The sequence below is a fragment of the Homo sapiens genome, chromosome 3, assembly GCF_000001405.40.
Source record: "Homo sapiens chromosome 3, GRCh38.p14 Primary Assembly".
In the NCBI taxonomy this organism is placed as follows: domain Eukaryota; kingdom Metazoa; phylum Chordata; class Mammalia; order Primates; family Hominidae; genus Homo; species Homo sapiens.
Window position 1 is genome coordinate 42,731,938 of NC_000003.12, and position 17,254 is coordinate 42,749,191.

Genomic DNA, 17,254 nt, shown 5'->3' on the forward strand with positions numbered 1-17,254 from the left:
TCCTGTATTTCTGTGTGGCACAGAGGTCACAGCCACACAGGCCTGGAAGGGGCTCGAAGGGGTCATCTTGTCCATCTTCCTGCTCTCTTTACTGTGACTAAAACCTCAGAGAGGCAGAGCCTCCCCAATCTCCCTGTGCTGTGACAAGACCTCCCACCCTAAGGAGCGTGGCACATGCCTTGTGGCTCAGTGTCAGCCCACTCTCCCCAAGTGCCTTTATGACCCCAGCCTGATGGGTGGGGCAGCTTTGGCCCACAGACCCTATGCTGCCAAGTGTCAGCAGCATGCTGTCCCCCACTTTTCGGGGATAGCAGCCCAGAGAAGGACCAGTTTGCCTGGAGCCACAGAGATGAGGGACTGGGGCCACTTGGAGGCTTTGCCTGGAACCTGAGCTGACCTGCCTGAGGGGTCAGGGTGGGGAGTGTTGACAGCAGGAGCATGGCTCCAGTGGACAGTGGGCAGGGCTCGGGACAGGGCTTAGAGGCAGGACAACGCTGTCCTTTGTCTATGGGCTGGCAGTAGGAACAAAGGGCCCATTTACACCCTCTGGCTTGATTCTGTCAACAAAGAGGGGGCCCAAGGTCTGAGGGGATATCAGTGGGAACCCATATCATGTGAAATTCTCCCCTTAGAGGCTGATTCTCAATGAGCAAGAGAAGATGAGGGAAGGTGCTAGAAGCCAGGCCCAGGAAGGTTCCTCAGGTTAATTCTCACGTAGCAGGTAGGAACCCTAGCCTGGGAGTCAGAGGCCAAGATTCTAGTTCTGAAGCTGCTTACTCTATCATCTTGGACAGGACTTCCCTGATCCTCCCTGTCTTTATGTAACCTTGGAAGAGTCCCTGGACTTTGCCTGGCCTCAGTTTCCCCTCCTTTTAATGGGATGGCAATACTGGTTGAGCAATCAAGAATGGGAAAAAACTGTGAGAGTCCGGGGGTCGGGGGTCCATACCTAGGTGAGGTCCTGTGGGGACTGGGCAGGGAAGGCCTCGTGAGAGCAGATTCCACCAGTGTGTGGCCCAGGCTGGTCACAGAGCTGTGTAAAGGCGGAAGGGGCCCATCAGCCTGGGAAGGCAGACCAGGCCCTACTGGGCCTCACCTCTGCATGTGAGGTGGAGCAGTGGCCAGCAGGGGTCCAGGAAACCCTTGCAGCAGTCCTGTGGATTTGCTGCCCTTCTTTCCAGAACTCTTGTTTGCTCAAAATGAGACAGAACAGGAGACACCAGAGCCTTGAACAACCCAACACGGGTCTGTTTGAAGGCCCCAGGGGCAGAAAACTTTTGAGGCCAGCTCAGAAAGGCTCTTACAGAGAGCTGCAACCAGCATGCTCTTGAAGTGATAAAATCTGGGCCTAACCGGCTCATTTCTGCAGACGCAGAGCTAATGTCATAGGAGAGGCCCACGTATTGGAAGAACAACAGCATAGTCATCTTAAAATTGCACCTGTGGCTTCCCATCAGAGGTAGCAAGAAACAACCTTTCTTCCGAATAATTAATGTTCACTTTCCAACCCCTCCCTCCCATTGTTTTCTTACCGAGAAGATCCAAGCCTGCCAACATGATCGCCTGCTGAGGCCGGGGACTTGGTCAGGCCTGGGTCCTCCAGGAACTGGGTATAGGCAGGGCTGACCTCGCGGCCACTGGACCCCTCACCCACTCCTTTATTCCGAAGATACTGTAGGAACAGATGTGGGTTCCATCCTCAGGGCTTTGGCTCAGAGGCCTAGAGAAGGCAGGAGGGGATCTTGGCTTGATTTCGGGGCTTTCAGAGGATATGAAAGAGGCTTCTTTTCAGGAGTGAAAAGCGAGGCCTGTTTGGTGAAGGCACTACTTGCATGATAATGACATCTAATAATGCCTCTCTTCAGAAAGAAAGCTACATGGTGTGAGGACGGTGACTGGGCCAGGAAGCTGTTCTACATTCAGGTTCCAGAGGGAGGTGCACGGCCCTGCATGCGGGGCAGGTCAGAGACTGACGTCTCTGAGTGGGTCCGCTTCTCCAGGCGGCCCCACCCACATGTGGTTGAACACCAGGTGTGACTTGAGGCCAGCTGCCTTCCTCAGCTGGAACACCTGGACCTTCCAGACACCTGCAGCCAGAGAGGCTGGCAGGGACTCAGTGAGGGCAGGCAGCCTTGGGTGGAGGCTAAGCCTGCCAGGCCCCCACCCCTCCCTCAACCCCTTCCTCTTCTGGATACCTGCTGGGGCTGGACTGGACAGGAACATTAGAGGACCCCCAGCAGGAGGTCAGGCCACCAGAGTGGACAACCGGTGTAAGCCCCTAACAACCTGGCTTGTCCCCCAGCCCCACCCATTTTGAGAAAACTCGAAACGTGTGCCGACTTAAGTCTGGTGGGTAATGCTTGGCCCCCATTCAGCTGGTGACCTCGGAGGTAGGAACAGTCTTCTCCTGTGTGCCTGGAGAAAGGACAGTGGTGAGGTGAAGATGCTGGAATCTTCCCCTTCAGACTTCCCTCCCCAGTGAGCCAGGATGGGGAGCAGGGTGAGTCCCCATTCACTGCCGTATGTGCTCTGTTCCCAGACTTCCTTGTGCCCCCAGGCTCCCCTTCAGCCTCACAGCACTATGTCACAGCCAGTCCTGGGGCCCCAGGCTACCCTGGCCTGTGGGAATAGAGGCTACAGGACAAACCAGGCTGGTCAGCCAATGCCAGACTGAGGCAGGGCCGAGGGGCTCTTGGGCTCTCACCTCTGAACAAACCACGGATCCCCAGAAACAAAGAGCAGGGCTGCTTTGCAACATGCCTTTGGCTGAGCCAGTCAATTTCCCAGTGGGCCAGAGGCTGCAAGGCTCCTTTGTCACTGGGAGACCTGCATGCCTGTCAAGAAATTCTCCCCAAGGACACCACCCAGCCCCACCACCACCCCAGGGAGGTGAAGGTGCCTGACTCCTAGCAGCCCCAAGCTGTGCCCTCAAGGCACCTGCCAAGACAAAATATCTTTACAAGCTCATGCCTTAGACAAGCATTTATTGAGCATCTACTGTGTGCTTGCTCCAGTGCCAGGCACTGAGGCACCACGGTCTGTGCTCCCTTACAGAGAGTGCAGGGGAGAAAACAGGAAAATGACTACACAGCGTGAGAGAAGTTTGGTTTGGGGATGCATAGGGAGTTAGGAGAGTGCCTAGGAGGGGAACACAACACAGAACAGGGGTCCTGGGGCTTCCTGGAGGAGCTCCTGACTAGGTAAGACCTAAAGGCTGAGGGGCAGCCGGCCAGACCGAGGCCGTGGGGGAGGAGGGGAGGGAGTGTGCTTCACGCTGCGCGTAGCCCTGGAGTGCGGAGCAAGCAGGAGCTGAATGGTGCCTGGGTAGCAGAGTGTAGGGAAAGGGGAGGGGTGAAGAGAAGATGCAGGAGGGGTGGCAGCAAGAGTTAGTCACATGGTGCCTAGAAGCTGAATGAAGTGTGGCTTTCCTTCTCTCATCCTGCTGCTGGAGCTACTGCCACCATCTTGAATCCTGAGGATAAGGCCACAGCTGGGGATGGGAGAGGGTAAACTGGAAGGTGCCTGGGTCCTTGAGAACCAGGTGAGGTCGAGGGTGACAGTAAGCCATGAACAGATTTTAAGTAGAGCAAGGACACAATCAGGTTTGTGTGCAGAATGGGTTGGGGAGCCAGATAGAAGCAGGTGGCCAAAGTGGAGCCAGGAAGGATGAAGTCTGGCCTGAGCTAAGGCAAGTGGAAAGAAGTGGAAGGAGCTGGATGGACTTGCCCGGCTTGAAAATGGGTTTGGGCGCTGCCAGTGCCCTACTCACGTGCACATTGAGTTGTCCGATCTCCATCTCCAGCTGTCGCACTTTGGCCTCCCGCTCAGCTACCATGGCCTGCAGCTGGGCGACTAGGCTGTTGCTCCGCTGAGCCTCGCTGTTCAGTTGCTGGTCCAGGTGGTGCTGGGACACTCGCGTTTTCTCCTCCTGCAGACTCAGGCTGCCTAGGATCTCCTGTAGCTGCTTCAGCTGGTCCTGGGGGGCCAGGCAGGAGGGCAGGTGGAGTCAGTCATGGCCCTTTGGGCCGGGGAGGACAAGAACAGACTGCCTCCCTCACCCCAAAGCAGGCTGCAGGAACCTAACAGTGGGATCCTGTTCCCTCGAGAGGCAGGAACACCTTCCTTGCCTGCCATCAGGGGATGTTGAATCAGGCAGGTGGGGACCATGTTCTTTTCCTGTCCTCAACTTCCTTCTCTGAGTTTGGGGCCAAGAAGATCCAAGGGGCTCTCAGACAACAGAAAGTAGATCAGATGGTGACTCCTCACCCGGTGGGGGAGATATTTAGCTAAAAGAAAAGCCTGATCCTGCTTGGCTGGGAGACTGCCCTTGGAGGCAGTACCTGGACCCCTGCCAGGGATCCATTAGCACCTGACTGAAGCCTCATCCCAAGGAAAAGCCCTCAAGGAGACTCCTGGGCAAAGGCTTCCTGCCTAGGGCCAACAGAAAGGACAATGTCAGTGATTTGGAACAGGTGGGGGCTGTTGTCTTCACCTCAGAGTGGAGGAAACTGAGGCCCAGAGAGTCCAAGGGCATATTGCTGGTGAATAGCATGACTGGGACTAGTTTGCAGCTCTCATCATGCCACTTTCAATGACAAAGAATGGTGACATGCAGGGACCTCAGAGGACATCCAGCCCTGCGACTTATTTTTAAAACTGGCTGCTGAGCCTCAGAGGGGATGCGACTGGCCTATGGTCACACAGTGAGATACTGACAGAGGCAGGCCTAGATTTCTGGTCTTCTGTGCCCCGCTCACCACCCTATCATGTAAAGTGATCATGAACTAAGGTAGGTGCCTGAGCCAGCACCCCCCAAACACCCCAGCCAAGCCAGACATGATCACCCGCCCCGGGCCTGCAGGCACAACTTGGAATCTGACACCAAACTTTGGTGCCTCGGGTCCCACAGAGAAAAGTCCAAGCTGTAGGGTTAGGAAAGCAGTATGGCCTTACTAATCAAGGAAGTTTTTGTTTTTGTTGTTGTTGTTGTTTTATACATAAGTTGTAGGGTACATGTGCACAACGTGCAGGTTTGATACATAGGTATACATATGCCATGTTGGTTTGCTGCACCCATCAACTCATCATTTACATTAGGTATTTCTCCTAATGCTATCCCTCCCCCAGCCCCCCACCCACCGACAGGCCCTGGTGTGTGATGTTCCCCGCCCTGTGTCCAAGTGATCTCATTGTTCAATTCCCACCTATGAGTGAGAACATGCGGTGTTTGGTTTTCTGTCCTTGTGATAGTTTGCTGAGAATGATGGTTTCCAGCTTCATCCATATCCCTGCAAAGGACATGAACTCATCCTTTTTTATGGCTGCATATTATTCCATGGTGTACATGTGCCACATTTTCTTAATCCAGTCTATTACTGATGGACATTTGGGTTGGTTCCAAGTCTTTGCTATTGTGGATAGTGCCGCAGTAAACATACGTGTGCATGCGTCTTTATAGTAGCATGATTTATAATCCTTTGGGTATATACCCAGTAATGGGATTGCTGGATCAAATGGTATTTCTAGTTCTAGATCCTTGAGGAATCGCCACACTGTCTTCCACAATGGTTGAACTAATTCACAGTCCCACCAACAGTGTAAAAGCATTCCTATTTCTCCACATCCTCTCCAGCACCTGTTGTTTCCTGACTTTTTAATGATTGCCCTTCTAACTGGTGTGAGATGGTATCTCATTGTGGTTTTGATTTGCATTTCTCTGATGGCCAGTGATGATGAGCATTTTTTCAAGTGTCTGTTGGCTGCACAGATGTCTTCTTTTGAGAAGCGTCTGTTCATATCCTTCGCCCACTTTTTGATGGGGTTGTTTTTTTCTTGTAAATTTGTTTGAGTTCTTTGTAGATTCTGGATATTAGCCCTTTGTCAGATGGGTAGATTGCAAAAATTTTATCCCATTCTTTAGGTTGCCTGTTCACTCTGATGGTAGTTTCTTTTGCCATGCAGAAGCTCTTTAGTTTAATTAGATCCCATTTGTCTATTTTGGCTTTTGCTGCCATTGCTTTTGGTGTTTTAGTCATGAAGTCCTTGCCCATGCCTATGTCCTGAATGGTATTTCCTAGCTTTTCTTCTAGGGTTTTTATGGTCTTAGGTCTAACATTTAAATCTTTAATCCATCTTGAATTAATTTTTGTATAAGGTGTAAGGAAGGGATCCAGTTTCAGCTTTCTACATATGGCTAGCCAGTTTTCCCAGCACCACTTATTAAATAGGGAATCCTTCCCCCATTTCTTGTTTTTGTCAGGTTTGTCAAAGATCAGATGGTTGTAGATGTGTGGTGTTATTTCTGAGGCCTCTGTTCTGTTCCATTGGTCTATATATCTGTTTTGGTACCAGTACCATGCTGTTTTGGTTACTGTAGCCTTGTAGTATAGTTTGAAGTCAGGTACTATGATCCCTCCAGCTTTGTTCTTTTTGCTTAGGATTGTCTTGGCAATGTGGGCTCTTTTTTGATTCCATATGAACTTTAAAGTAGTTTTTTCCAATTCTGTGAAGAAAGTCATTGGTAGCTTGATGGGGATGGCACTGAATCTATAAATTACTTTGGGCAGTATGGCCATTTTCATGATATTGACTCTTCCTACCCATGAGCATGGAATATTCTTCCATTTGTTTGTGTCCTCTTTTATTTCATTGAGCAGTGGTTTGTAGTTCTTCTTGAAGAGGTTCTTCACATCCCTTTTAAGTTGGATTCCTAGGTATTTTATTCTCTTTGAAGCAGTTGTGAATGGGAGTTCACTCATGATTTGACTCTCTGTTTGTCTGTTACTGGTGTATAGGAATGCTTGGGATTTTTGCACATTGATTTTGTATCCTGAGACTCCTGAAGTTGCTTATCAGCTTAAGGAGATTTTGGGCTGAGATGATGGGGTTTTCTAAATATACAATCATGTCATCTGCAAACAGGAACAATTTGACTTCCTCATTTCCTATTTGAATACCCTTTATTTCTTTCTCTTGCCTGATCGCCCTGGCCAGAACTTCCAACACTATGTTGAATAGGAGTGGTGAGAGAGGGCATCCTTGTCCTGTGCTGGTTTTCAAAGGGAATGCTTCCAGTTTTTGCCCATTCAGTATGATATTGGCTGTGGGTTTGTCATAAATAGCTCTTATTATTTTGAGATACGTTTAATCCAGGAAGTTTTTATAGTCAGATAAACCTGCTTTGAACTCAGTTGTATGGTCTTAGATGAGTTATCTAATGAATTTGAGTCTTAGTTTCCCCATCTGTGAAGTGGGATTAAAATATATGATCCTAGAAGTTATCTTAGGGACTAAGCATTATAACATGCCCAGAAGAGGAAGGGTTCTGTGCCACTGCAGAGATAAGAACTGGTACTGGCTCCTCTTGTCCCTTTCATTCCTTGCTGAAAAATAACCCAGGGTATAATCCCACCTCCTTCCCCCAATACATTTCTGTCTCTTTTGGGGTCCATAGGCCCAGTGCCTTGTGCCTGGTGCTGCTCCATCACAGCCCCCTACCTGCCCTCAGGCAGCCTCCCTGAGCTGCTCCTGTCCCTGGGGCAGGGCTTTGGTACTGGGGGCCATCTGGAGGCAACGGGCTTTGGGGTTACACAGGTGGCATTGAGGGGTGAGTGAGGGCTCACTCTGGCCATGGCTGGGGCCCATCCTTTGAGGAACCACCCCTGGCTCTCGCCCTGCCTGAGTGGTGGGGCCATACCATGAGGGCGTCGATGAGCTCGTCATCATGCCGGCCCTTCTCCACCAGGGTTCCCATCTGACTCTTGAGGGTCTTCATCTCACTTGACAGCAGCTTGTTCCGAGACCTCATGCCCTCGAACTTCTTTTTTAGCTCTTCAAGCTCTCTCTGGAGGACATCCCGTTCACTGGCAAGTTTCTGTAATTAGAAAGTGAGGGCATGGGCAGCAGGGCTGTGTGGGACCTTGGCCACATCTGCTCCCTGGCTCCTACTCAATGGCAAGGCCCGGGGCTGGGGGTGGGGGTGCTTGTTGAATGCCACAGAGCAAGTCACTAGAGCCAGGGCCCTGACTCCCAGCCCAGGCCTCTCAGGGATATCAGGTGGCCAGCAGCCTCCCACCCTTCCCCTAGCACATGACAGCACTAACCCATGACAGCACTCCTAACCTCAGCCTGAGACACAGACTTCCTAGCACATGAGAGGAAAGCCGCCAGCCAACTGCGTGTGTCCTCCAGAGAGCACAGCCAGTCCTACCCCTAAGCCCCTCCCCAAGCAGGGGAAAAGAGAAAAGCCATACTTTAGAAAAAGAGTGCTGGGCTAGGTTCCAACTGCAGCACCTTGCACCACCAGGAGCTAGAATGAGAAAGGAGGGTCTTTTCTCCCACTTCCTCCATGATTATTTGGCACAACCCCTGACAGCACCTTGCTTTGTCAGCTACCAACTGGAAACTCACATGCAGCACACATCTTCGGAGTCTCTCATTCAATCATCCCTTCATTCTCGAGGGTTTCCTGAGGGCCTACTATGGGTTTCCTGAGGTTTCCTACTATGGTTTCCTGAGGGCCTACTATGGGCTTAGTATTGTTATAGATGCTGGGGGACAGCAAAAAGCAAAACAGTCCTTGTCCTCAAGGAGCTGATAATCCTAATGGAGGAGACAGATAATGTCAAATAGTGACAAATGCTAATTTGAAAGTAGGAAACAGGAATAGCGAGAAGGATATGGTCAGGTAAGGCCTTTCTGAAAAGGTGGCATCTGAGCAGAGACTGAAGGAGATGAAGGGAAGAGCAAAGGCCCTGGGGTAGAAGGTGTGTGGCTGGAGCACAGTGAGTGAAGGGGCAGAGGTTAGATTAGGCAAACCCATAAAGACAAGATGGAGACATTGGGGAGGAGCTTGGGCAGTGGGTGACATCACCTGCTTGATCCTGAGGGTGAATTGTTGCTGGAAAAGTATTTTCATATCCTTGATGAAGTGAATTATAGAAATGCAAAACAAGTAAAACATGAATCTATAGGACACAAGCCCTTTGCAGGGAGGCAGCCATTACTCACCTGTTGCTCTCCTGCCTACACACTCCAGGCTCTTATGGGTGCCTGCCAGAGGGAATGCATGCAGGAAGCTGTTTCCTTCCACCCGCTATTGCAGCTTATGGTCAGCCCAACTGTTCAACATAATCTGTTCTGCACTAACATGTAAGTTCAAGCTAGGTGCATTTCAAACCCAGCATTTCCAAATCTCAACTCCCTTTCTCTTCTTGAACCCACCCTGTCTCCCTTACCCACCCACTATACTCCCTAGAAGTCCTTTATAACTCTTCCTCCTCATCTCTCTTCCAAGTCCAATCAGTCCTTGAGCCCTAGAAAGTCTGTCCTCACTGTCCCAGGTGTCTGGCCCTTCCATGACAGTCCACTATCTTGGCAAAGATCTTTGGTCATGTCTCCAGGATTACTATTCTGCCTTCCATTCCTCTTCCAACCCATTCCTCCTCTTGCTCCAACCATGTGACCTTTCCAAAATGCACAGCTGACCACCTCCCTCCACAAATTAAAACCCTGTCGTGGGCTCGGCGAATGGCTCACACCTGTAATCCCAGCACTTTGTGAGGCCGAGGCAGGTGGATCACCTGACGTTAGGAATTTGAGACCAGCCTGACCAACACAGTGAAACCCTGTCTCTACTAAATATATAAAAATTAGCCGGGCATGGTGGCAGGTGCCTGTAATCCCAGCTACTTGGGAGGCTGAGGCAGGAGAATCACTTGAACCCCGGAGGCGGAGGTTGCAGTAAGCCAAGATCACACCATTGCACTCCAGCCTGGGCAACAGAGCGAGACTCTATCTAAAAAAAAACAAAAACCGTTTGGTGGTTCTCCACAGCCTTCAAGATACAGGCCAAAAGTCCTGGCTGGCATACAAAGCCCAGCAGGCCCTGTCCACTTCTGTGGTCTCACTGTTTCCCTCCTCACAGCTGATGGTCTACAGCGCTGGGAGGTGCAATGTGGTCATGGTTACAGCATTCCTAACACAGGGCCTAACCCAGCGTTGGTGCTCACAGGCAAAAGTCTCCAGATGAAAAGGCAAGTCCTCACTGTTAGGTAGCTCACTGCCAGGGCCACTACGTGGGCCTGTTGTATGGCCTGCCTGCACCTCTTCATGCTGCTTCTGTTACCTTCTTTAAAGTGGCCCCTACTCCCTACTCTCATTGCAAGTTTGGGGAGGCTAACTCATCCCCTCAAACCTTGGGGCAGGTGTCTGAAGCTTGACCAATCAAAACACCCTGTACTCTTGGCTACAGTGATGGGCTCAAGGATGGTCACATAACCCAGGCTAGACCAAAGACACTCAATTCTGGGACTTTGTTGGAACTATTGGGAAAGAGAAACCCTTTGTCTGTAGAGGCTGCATTGGAGGAGAGAAGCTGGGACTACCCAGGGTCCTTGTGGAAGAGAGTGAAGCCAACCCAGGAGAAGGTGCTGAGAGCAAGGCCCCGATCTGCACCTGAAGCTAGGCCACCTCTGGATTGTTCGTTTACATGGGCCAATGACTTCCCTTTGTTGCTTAAACCTGGTAGAGTTAGAGTTCTGACACTCCCAACGCAGCCAGTGAGATGCGGCCCCTGGTGTTGAGTCCAGCCTGCCTACCTCTTTCATCAGCCTGGAACTTTCCCCCTTTAAGCCCCATCTAACCCTATCATACTTCTGGGGCCATGACCCTCCCCCTCTCCCTTTTACAATGAGAATTTCAGGTATAGCACCTCCAAAACAGCCAGGATGGGGCCACGAAAAGTTCATTAAATGGGCTCACAGTGAGGTCCCAGTCAGGCAGCTCAAGTTGGTTTGACAGGACATGAGGAACATGCAGAGGTGACCCAGGTCCCCAGGTGTCTCCTGCCTAGAAGGGGTGGCTCAGACTTCTGACCACATGTGCCTCAGAGCCCTTGCAGGCACCATCATGATCTCTCGTTCCCACATGCCCAGCTGACCTCCTCAGGCACGCGTTACCTCCAAGCCTTCCTGTTTTTCCCTTTCCAGGCTGCGGATCCTCAGCAGGTTTTTCTCCTGTGCCGACAGCTTCCTTGGGTCTGGATAGACAGACAACTCATCACTGGCTGTTCCCGCAGACTGGCTCCGGGCCTGGCCCAATTGCTTCTCAAGCTCTTGAACCTGAGGATGGTAAAACTCGTCGTTCCACAATGGGTCTTCTGCCAGCCTCTTCTACTCAGAAGTGTGATAGGAGACCCCACAGACTGAAGATGGAACCACCTCTCTAGATGGCTGTGGTAGCCCCATCTGAGGAGGACTAGGGGTGGGGGACAATCTGAGCTGGCATCTTGAGCAACACATTGGAAGACACCAGGAAAGTTCAGCTTAGAAAAATGGTGAATGAGAAAAATCACCCTATCTCTGAGGGGCTGTTTGAGGCTGGAAAGCAGACCTATGGCCCCAGGAACCAGGGATGGATAGGATGGCAGGTCTCAGTTCAAGAAAGAATATTTATTTATTTATTTATTTATTTATTTATTTATTTATTTATTTATTTTAGAGACAGGGTCTTGCTCTGTTGCCCCGACTGGAGTGCAGTGGTGCAATCATGGCTCACTGTAACCTCTGCCTCCCGGGCTCAAGCAATCCTCCCAGCTCAGCCTCCTAAGCAGCTGGGACCACAGGCACAGGCAACTGTGCCTGGATAATTTTATATATATATATACACACACACATATATATATACACATATACACACACACACATAAATATATAAATATAAATATATATATATATAAAATTTGGTAGAGACGGGGTTTCACCATGTTGCCCAGGCTGGTCTTGAACTTGAACTCCTGGGCTCGAGAGATCTGCCCACCTCAGCCTCCCAAAGTGCTGGGCAAGGAGGAACTTTCTAACAGACAGACCACCTAAGACTGGGTGGGCTTCTCGGAAGATGGCAGTCACTTACAGGAGATACTGAAGAGGGGAAGGCAGGGTTTGGAAACAGACTGCCTCAAAGCCTCACAGATTGTGTGACTGCGCACAGGTAACTCTCTGAATCTCAGTTCCCTCATCTGTAAGATGGGCCTAAGAGTAACACTGCCCTGCGTAACACTGTTATGAGGATTCAGTATTGTGAAGTTGTCTGAGCCTGGGAATCCTCTGAGGTTCTTCTTGGACTGAAATCTTGGTGCTTACTCCAGATCAACAAACTACAGTTCTAGCGGAAGGGACATGGAATCTGCATTTTAAATGCTACAGGTTATTTTTAGGATTAGGTAACTTTGCAAAATCCCAAGATGGTCTAGGTGAAGCTGTCAACACAGCCTGGCACATGTGGGCCTTCAGCAAGTGGCAGGTAGATGTCATCCCACAGAACAATGCCCTTATCACCCTTATAACGCTAGGGTAGAAGCAGACAACTCCTAGGGTCCTTCTGACCCTGGTTTCCCTATCAACACAACCAAATGACAAAACAATGTTGGTAAACTTGAGCCAGGAAAGGAAGCACAATTCGCTAGGCTCCCTGGCAAAGGGCAGGAGCACAGCTTTGAAGGCACCCACCAGTGCCCTCGTGTGGCGCTGTGAGGCAATTCCATTTAATCATTAAAGAATACTGTTACCTTTAAGAATTTGACATACAGGGCCGGGCGTGGTGGCTCATGCCTGTAATCCCAGCACTTTGGCAAGCCGAGGTGGGCGGATCACGAGGTCAGGAGATCGAGACCATCCTGGCTAACACAGTGAAACCTCGTCTCTACTAAAAATACAAAAAATTAGCCGGGCGTGGTGGCGGGCAAATGTAGTCTCAGCTACTCAGGAGGCTGAGGCAGGAGAATGGCGTGAACCCGGGAGGCGGAGCTTGCAGTGAGCCGAGATCGCACCACTGCACTCCAGCCTGGGTGATAGAGCGAGACTCCGTCTCAAAAAAAAAAAAAAAAAAAAAAAAAGAATTTGACATGTAACTTAATGACAATAAGAAGTAAGTTGTTTTGTGCTTATTATGGTCAGGCACTGTCCTAGGTGCTTTACAAATGTTATTTTATGTTACCCCATTTCACAGGTGTGAAGATGAAGACATAGGAAGATGAAGGGGTTTGCCCAAGGTCAGAGTTGGCAGACCGGTGGCCAAACGTAAACTCAGGTCTCTTGAACCCCAAGGCCATGCACTATCATCTATTAGCTTCTTGGAGTTTTTCCCCCTTTATATTGGCTTCAAGGATCCCATGGGAGACACTGAAGATAAAAGCCACTGTGACCCTCGAAGTCCCTGGGAACAAGGGTGATATGCTTGGCAAATGGTGGAAGTCATACACCTTCTCACATGTTTCTCAGTTTGAAGGGACAAAGGGAAAAGAACCACACCTAACTTTTATACAGTGCTTCCTCCATGCCAGGCCCTGTGCTGAGCATTTTACAAGTATTGACTCAATTCTCCCAACAATCCTGTGGGGTAGGCATCGTTATTATCCCCATTATACAGATGAGGAAACTGAGGCACAGAGCTAAAGGAACTTGCTTAAGGTCACACAGCTGGTGAGTGGAGAGCTGGGATTTGAATCTGAGCAGTGTGGCTCCAGAGCCCCTGCTGTTAGCTGCTTTTGGTATGCTCCAAAATATTCAGACAATAAAGAGGGAGACAAGGCTAAATTTTTATTGGGTAATTAAACTTTCAAAAGACTACAAGCATCTGGACAAAACTGGAAAAAGCTTACAATTACAACAGTCACGCAAATCTACATAAACTAAGAAAAAAAAAAGATGCCTGGAGTAAAATAAATCAAACCAAAGGCGTTGGCATTTGTTAAGCTCCAGTGCCTGGCATGTGCTAAGTGTTATATAAGAGCTTGTTCATTAAATAACAAATTAAAATCAGGCTGGTTGGCGAGAAGGTAAAACAACAACCCCGCACGAGTGCACTGTGAGACCTAAAGGCCTTTTTTGGGTACTGTGTGCTTAGGTCTCTAAGGGGGTCAGGGCAGCTCTTTCTGGGGTGTTTTAAATCCTTTGTTCAGGCCAGGAGAAGTCTGATGACTCACTCACCTTGCTCTGCAAAACAAGAATTTGTTGAGCCCGACCCCTCCAGGTCCCTGGCGAAGATAGGAGCTGCTGAACGTTGATGTCTTCCCCAACCTCTCTGGCCAAAACCTGAAATAAGGCAGGGCCTTCAATGTGGCCAAAAGAGAGGGCTCCACCAGACCCTGATGCTGCTACGTATTTAGAAGCATATTCAGAAGCAGTCTTCACCTACACGATCTTCTTCCCATCTCAGAGCATAGCCCTCAAAGGTCAGTTTTCCATGTCCCAAGGGCAGCTCTCCCTGGGAAAGTAGTAAACCCATCATCCCTGGCATTTCTTGGCAATGCTTAGAGCAGCCAAGAAACTGCCAGCAATGCCCAGATAGGGCCCCTTGCTCTTGACATATTCTGGGATGACTGAACCACAAAGCTGACCAACTCCTGCTTCCTTAACCCACTCACCTGTCACCTAGTGCTGAGCTAATTCTGGCTATAGGAAGTACATCACCACAGGACCCTAGCCTTTGTGAAAACCCACGGACAAGTGGACCTCTGAGTGCAGCAAAAGGTGGGCTACTGAATGTCAGTTGGGGTGCTGTGGTCCAAGAAGGACCCAGCTTTGCGGTTGTTGAAGTGCAGCACTCAGGCCCAACCTCAAGGCTTTGAGGCAGAAACAATACGCTCCAGCTTGTGACCTGGGCCCCTCTGAAGCCTGTCACAGAAACCCGATCCAGCGTACCAAGTCTCTGGCACTTGTTTCCACAATAGAACACTGTTTTGGAAATCTTGGCCAGTCTGAGTGGTTCCAGCAGGGAAGACAAATGCCAGAGAATTCGCTATGTAAATAAAAATAAATAACGAACCAGCTGGGCCTGTGTCCCAAGTCTGAGCATTTTCCTTTGAAAGGGTCCTTTAATACACAAGTAACCTATTCATTTTCTGTTACAGATAGCAGAGAAGAAGGCAGGTGTTGGCAGGCTTTCAAGTTAAGTAAGGGTGACATTAAGGGGAGACCCAGGATCTACTGGGGCACAAGTAGTGCAGGGAAGGCTTAATGGACTCTCCCTGGGTGGACAGTGCTGTCCTCCTCAGTCTAGAGCTGGGCAGGCACCACAAGGGCAGGTATGCTGCGGGGGTGGGGGTGGCAGGCTCAGGTAGCCAGCGACTCTGCCCACCAAATGGTTATGGACCAAGGGCTGGTGGGAGGAAGGACTGGAACTGGAGCCTGACCCAGAGCAAGCAGTGTGCTCAAGGGACTGAGCACTCATGGCTCCAGAAAGGAATCCACTGTGCCAGCCGTGCTCTTCCCAAGTCCAGCCCCAGCCACACAAGAAGCCCCAAGCCCTGGCTCTGAAAGACCTTCTGTGCCATCCGCAGCTCCTGCTTCACAGACTGGATCTGGTTTCGGAGGTCACTCATCTTCAAGTTGGTGGCCACCAGCCTGTCCTGCAGGGCCTTCACCTCTGGGGTCTCCAGCTGGTTGGGAAGGACAGGAGAGAAAGTAGTCATTTATTGCCTACATGGGAATAGTAATCATAGCCCCCATTTATCCAAGTCTGTGCCAGGCACTGTGCTAAGTGTTTGACATGGAAGAACTCATTTAATCCTCATAAACCCCTGTGAGGTAGGTTCTCTTGTAAGCCCCTTATAGATGCAAAATGGAGGGTGGTGGAAGGTAAGTCCTCTACTTGAGCTACCTGGTTAATAAAGGTGGAACCTGGATTTGAATCCTGGCAGCTTAACTTTGGGACTGAGCTTTTTGCAGAGTGTTGCACACACACATGTGGGTGTATGCCTTACCCTAGAGGTGAAGCATCTGGAGGAAGCGGCAGGCTCCACGCCTCCCAGACACTTCCTGGGTGTGGACCCACTGCTGTGCTCAGAGACTGGCATCACAGCTAATCCATCTTCACTCAGAATAAAGAGGAAACCACGTTATTCCCCGAAGGCAAGCCCAGCGTGGCAGGAGAGCCATGGCATCCTAATTCAGGATCTGCCTCTCCCAGAATCGTCAGCTTGGGCCTTGGTCTTTTGACAGCTGAGGGGCCTTGGGCTCTCTTTCCTAGCAGTGACCACTGAATAGAAATAAGGACCCATTTTAATTTCCAAATGCTCATCTCTGTGGCTTGAAGAACTACAGCAACCATGAAAACTGCCTGCTGAAACTCTTAGCAATGTCTTTTTTTTTTTTAACCCAATGTTTTATTTAAACTATCTGGATGGAAATTTTTCTTAAATGGGCTGACTACTTCTCTGTCTTCAATAGACACTCCTGTGACTCATAGATATTTGACAAAGGGACCTTCAAGGTCAGCCCATTTAAACCCCTTCCATAATGATGAAAATAAGGCCCAGAGAGGGGAGGTAATTTGCCTTCAGGCATACAGCTGGTTGGGGTGACACAGGTGGGATGAGAAAGAATACTTGTCCTTCCCCTGCCCTGGCTGACTCTTCCAATTTAAGCTGCTGTTAATGCTGGGCATTGTGGCCACAGGAACGTTGGTTGTCAGGCTGAGCATCCCATCAGGCAATGACGCTGAGGCCCTCTGCTGCTGCCCCAACAGGGCAAAGCAGCTGAACTTCAGGAAGCAGGGCTGGTACTACAGTGGCTTTCTGACCTTTCTCTAGCAGGCACAAACAAAATCTCCTCTGAATGCTAGTGTGAAAGACAGATCCAAGTATACTGGGTCCGGGAAGTTCCATGGACCCCAGAGGCTCTGGGCAGCCCAGCTGAAAACCACTGGCCAAAGAAACTAGACATGAACACCTGGTCCAGAAACTCTGGCCTCATCCAGTGTCCTCATCTATGGAATGAGTATACAAATACTTTCCTGCTCCGCTTCCTCAGAGCACCACCATCAGGCTAAAGAGAACAGCCAACGTGAACAGAATGTGCCAACTCGGAACTTATATGAAACATAATCTCAGCTCACTGCAACCTCCGCCCCCCCGGGTTGAAGCGATTCTCCTGCCTCAGCCTCCCGAGTAGCTGGGATTACAGGTGCCCACCACCATGCCTGGCTAATTTTTGTATATTTTTTAGTAGAGATGGGGTTTCACCATGTTAGCCAGGCTGGTCTTGAACTCCAGACCTCAGGTGATCCACCTGCCTTGGCCTCCCAAAGTGCTGGGATTACAGATGTGAGCCACCGTGCCCGGCCATCCTTTTTTTTAAAGTATATTTTCTTCTGTGTTCTTCCTCCTGTCTGGCCGCCTGCCATCCCTGCATACTCTGTTGGGTGCCTGCCTCTTCTCCTGTTGAATGTGTGGCTTTGAATCTGCCCTGGGTTGGGA

The 17,254-nt window shown here is 50.1% G+C and overlaps 1 protein-coding gene and 1 long non-coding RNA gene across 10 annotated transcripts in view, besides 7 other annotated features; one reads left to right on the plus strand and one right to left on the minus strand.

The window, feature by feature from the left end:
• The window catches only part of CCDC13 (coiled-coil domain containing 13), a 69,136-nt gene that overhangs the window by 27,820 nt on the left and 24,062 nt on the right, over positions 1-17,254 (minus strand). For 5 of the 9 annotated variants that reach the window (XR_940385.1, XM_005264898.4, NM_144719.4 and 2 more), the window contains 7 exons: positions 15,320-15,436; positions 13,986-14,090; positions 10,959-11,120; positions 7,697-7,873; positions 3,770-3,976; positions 1,533-1,672; positions 950-1,033 (listed from right to left, as the gene is read on the minus strand). Coding sequence is in view for 8 of the 9 variants with exons in the window: in XM_005264898.4 (XP_005264955.1) it covers positions 950-1,033; positions 1,533-1,672; positions 3,770-3,976; positions 7,697-7,873; positions 10,959-11,120; positions 13,986-14,090; positions 15,320-15,436 (992 nt within the window). In the remaining variant the exon portion in view is untranslated. The other 4 variants (XM_011533418.3, XM_005264899.5, XM_011533420.2 and 1 more) reach the window with 4 other exon arrangements.
• Positions 360-654: an enhancer, noted in NCBI's record as "tiled region #2509; HepG2 Activating DNase matched - State 5:Enh". NCBI's record gives its function as "activates a minimal TATA promoter and a strong SV40 promoter by Sharpr-MPRA in HepG2 cells {active_cell/tissue: HepG2}" and the evidence as "EXISTENCE:reporter gene assay evidence [ECO:0000049][PMID:27701403]".
• Positions 360-654: a silencer, noted in NCBI's record as "tiled region #2509; K562 Repressive non-DNase unmatched - State 22:ReprW". NCBI's record gives its function as "weakly represses a minimal TATA promoter and a strong SV40 promoter by Sharpr-MPRA in K562 cells {active_cell/tissue: K562}" and the evidence as "EXISTENCE:reporter gene assay evidence [ECO:0000049][PMID:27701403]".
• CCDC13-AS1 (CCDC13 antisense RNA 1) lies at positions 638-13,221 on the plus strand. Its single transcript, NR_046732.1, has 4 exons — positions 638-721; positions 9,038-9,150; positions 10,989-11,129; positions 13,006-13,221. It is a non-coding gene; the product is annotated as a CCDC13 antisense RNA 1 (long non-coding RNA).
• Positions 1,184-1,869: an enhancer, noted in NCBI's record as "OCT4-NANOG-H3K27ac-H3K4me1 hESC enhancer chr3:42774613-42775298 (GRCh37/hg19 assembly coordinates)". NCBI's record gives its function as "activates a minimal SCP1, AML or CMV promoter by ChIP-STARR-seq in naive H9 embryonic stem cells {active_cell/tissue: H9 hESC(naive)}" and the evidence as "EXISTENCE:reporter gene assay evidence [ECO:0000049][PMID:30033119]".
• Positions 1,870-2,553: an enhancer, noted in NCBI's record as "OCT4-NANOG-H3K27ac-H3K4me1 hESC enhancer chr3:42775299-42775982 (GRCh37/hg19 assembly coordinates)". NCBI's record gives its function as "activates a minimal SCP1, AML or CMV promoter by ChIP-STARR-seq in naive H9 embryonic stem cells {active_cell/tissue: H9 hESC(naive)}" and the evidence as "EXISTENCE:reporter gene assay evidence [ECO:0000049][PMID:30033119]".
• Positions 3,926-4,611: an enhancer, noted in NCBI's record as "NANOG-H3K4me1 hESC enhancer chr3:42777355-42778040 (GRCh37/hg19 assembly coordinates)". NCBI's record gives its function as "activates a minimal SCP1, AML or CMV promoter by ChIP-STARR-seq in naive H9 embryonic stem cells {active_cell/tissue: H9 hESC(naive)}" and the evidence as "EXISTENCE:reporter gene assay evidence [ECO:0000049][PMID:30033119]".
• Positions 14,741-15,241: an enhancer, noted in NCBI's record as "H3K4me1 hESC enhancer chr3:42788170-42788670 (GRCh37/hg19 assembly coordinates)". NCBI's record gives its function as "activates a minimal SCP1, AML or CMV promoter by ChIP-STARR-seq in naive H9 embryonic stem cells {active_cell/tissue: H9 hESC(naive)}" and the evidence as "EXISTENCE:reporter gene assay evidence [ECO:0000049][PMID:30033119]".
• Positions 15,242-15,742: an enhancer, noted in NCBI's record as "H3K4me1 hESC enhancer chr3:42788671-42789171 (GRCh37/hg19 assembly coordinates)". NCBI's record gives its function as "activates a minimal SCP1, AML or CMV promoter by ChIP-STARR-seq in naive H9 embryonic stem cells {active_cell/tissue: H9 hESC(naive)}" and the evidence as "EXISTENCE:reporter gene assay evidence [ECO:0000049][PMID:30033119]".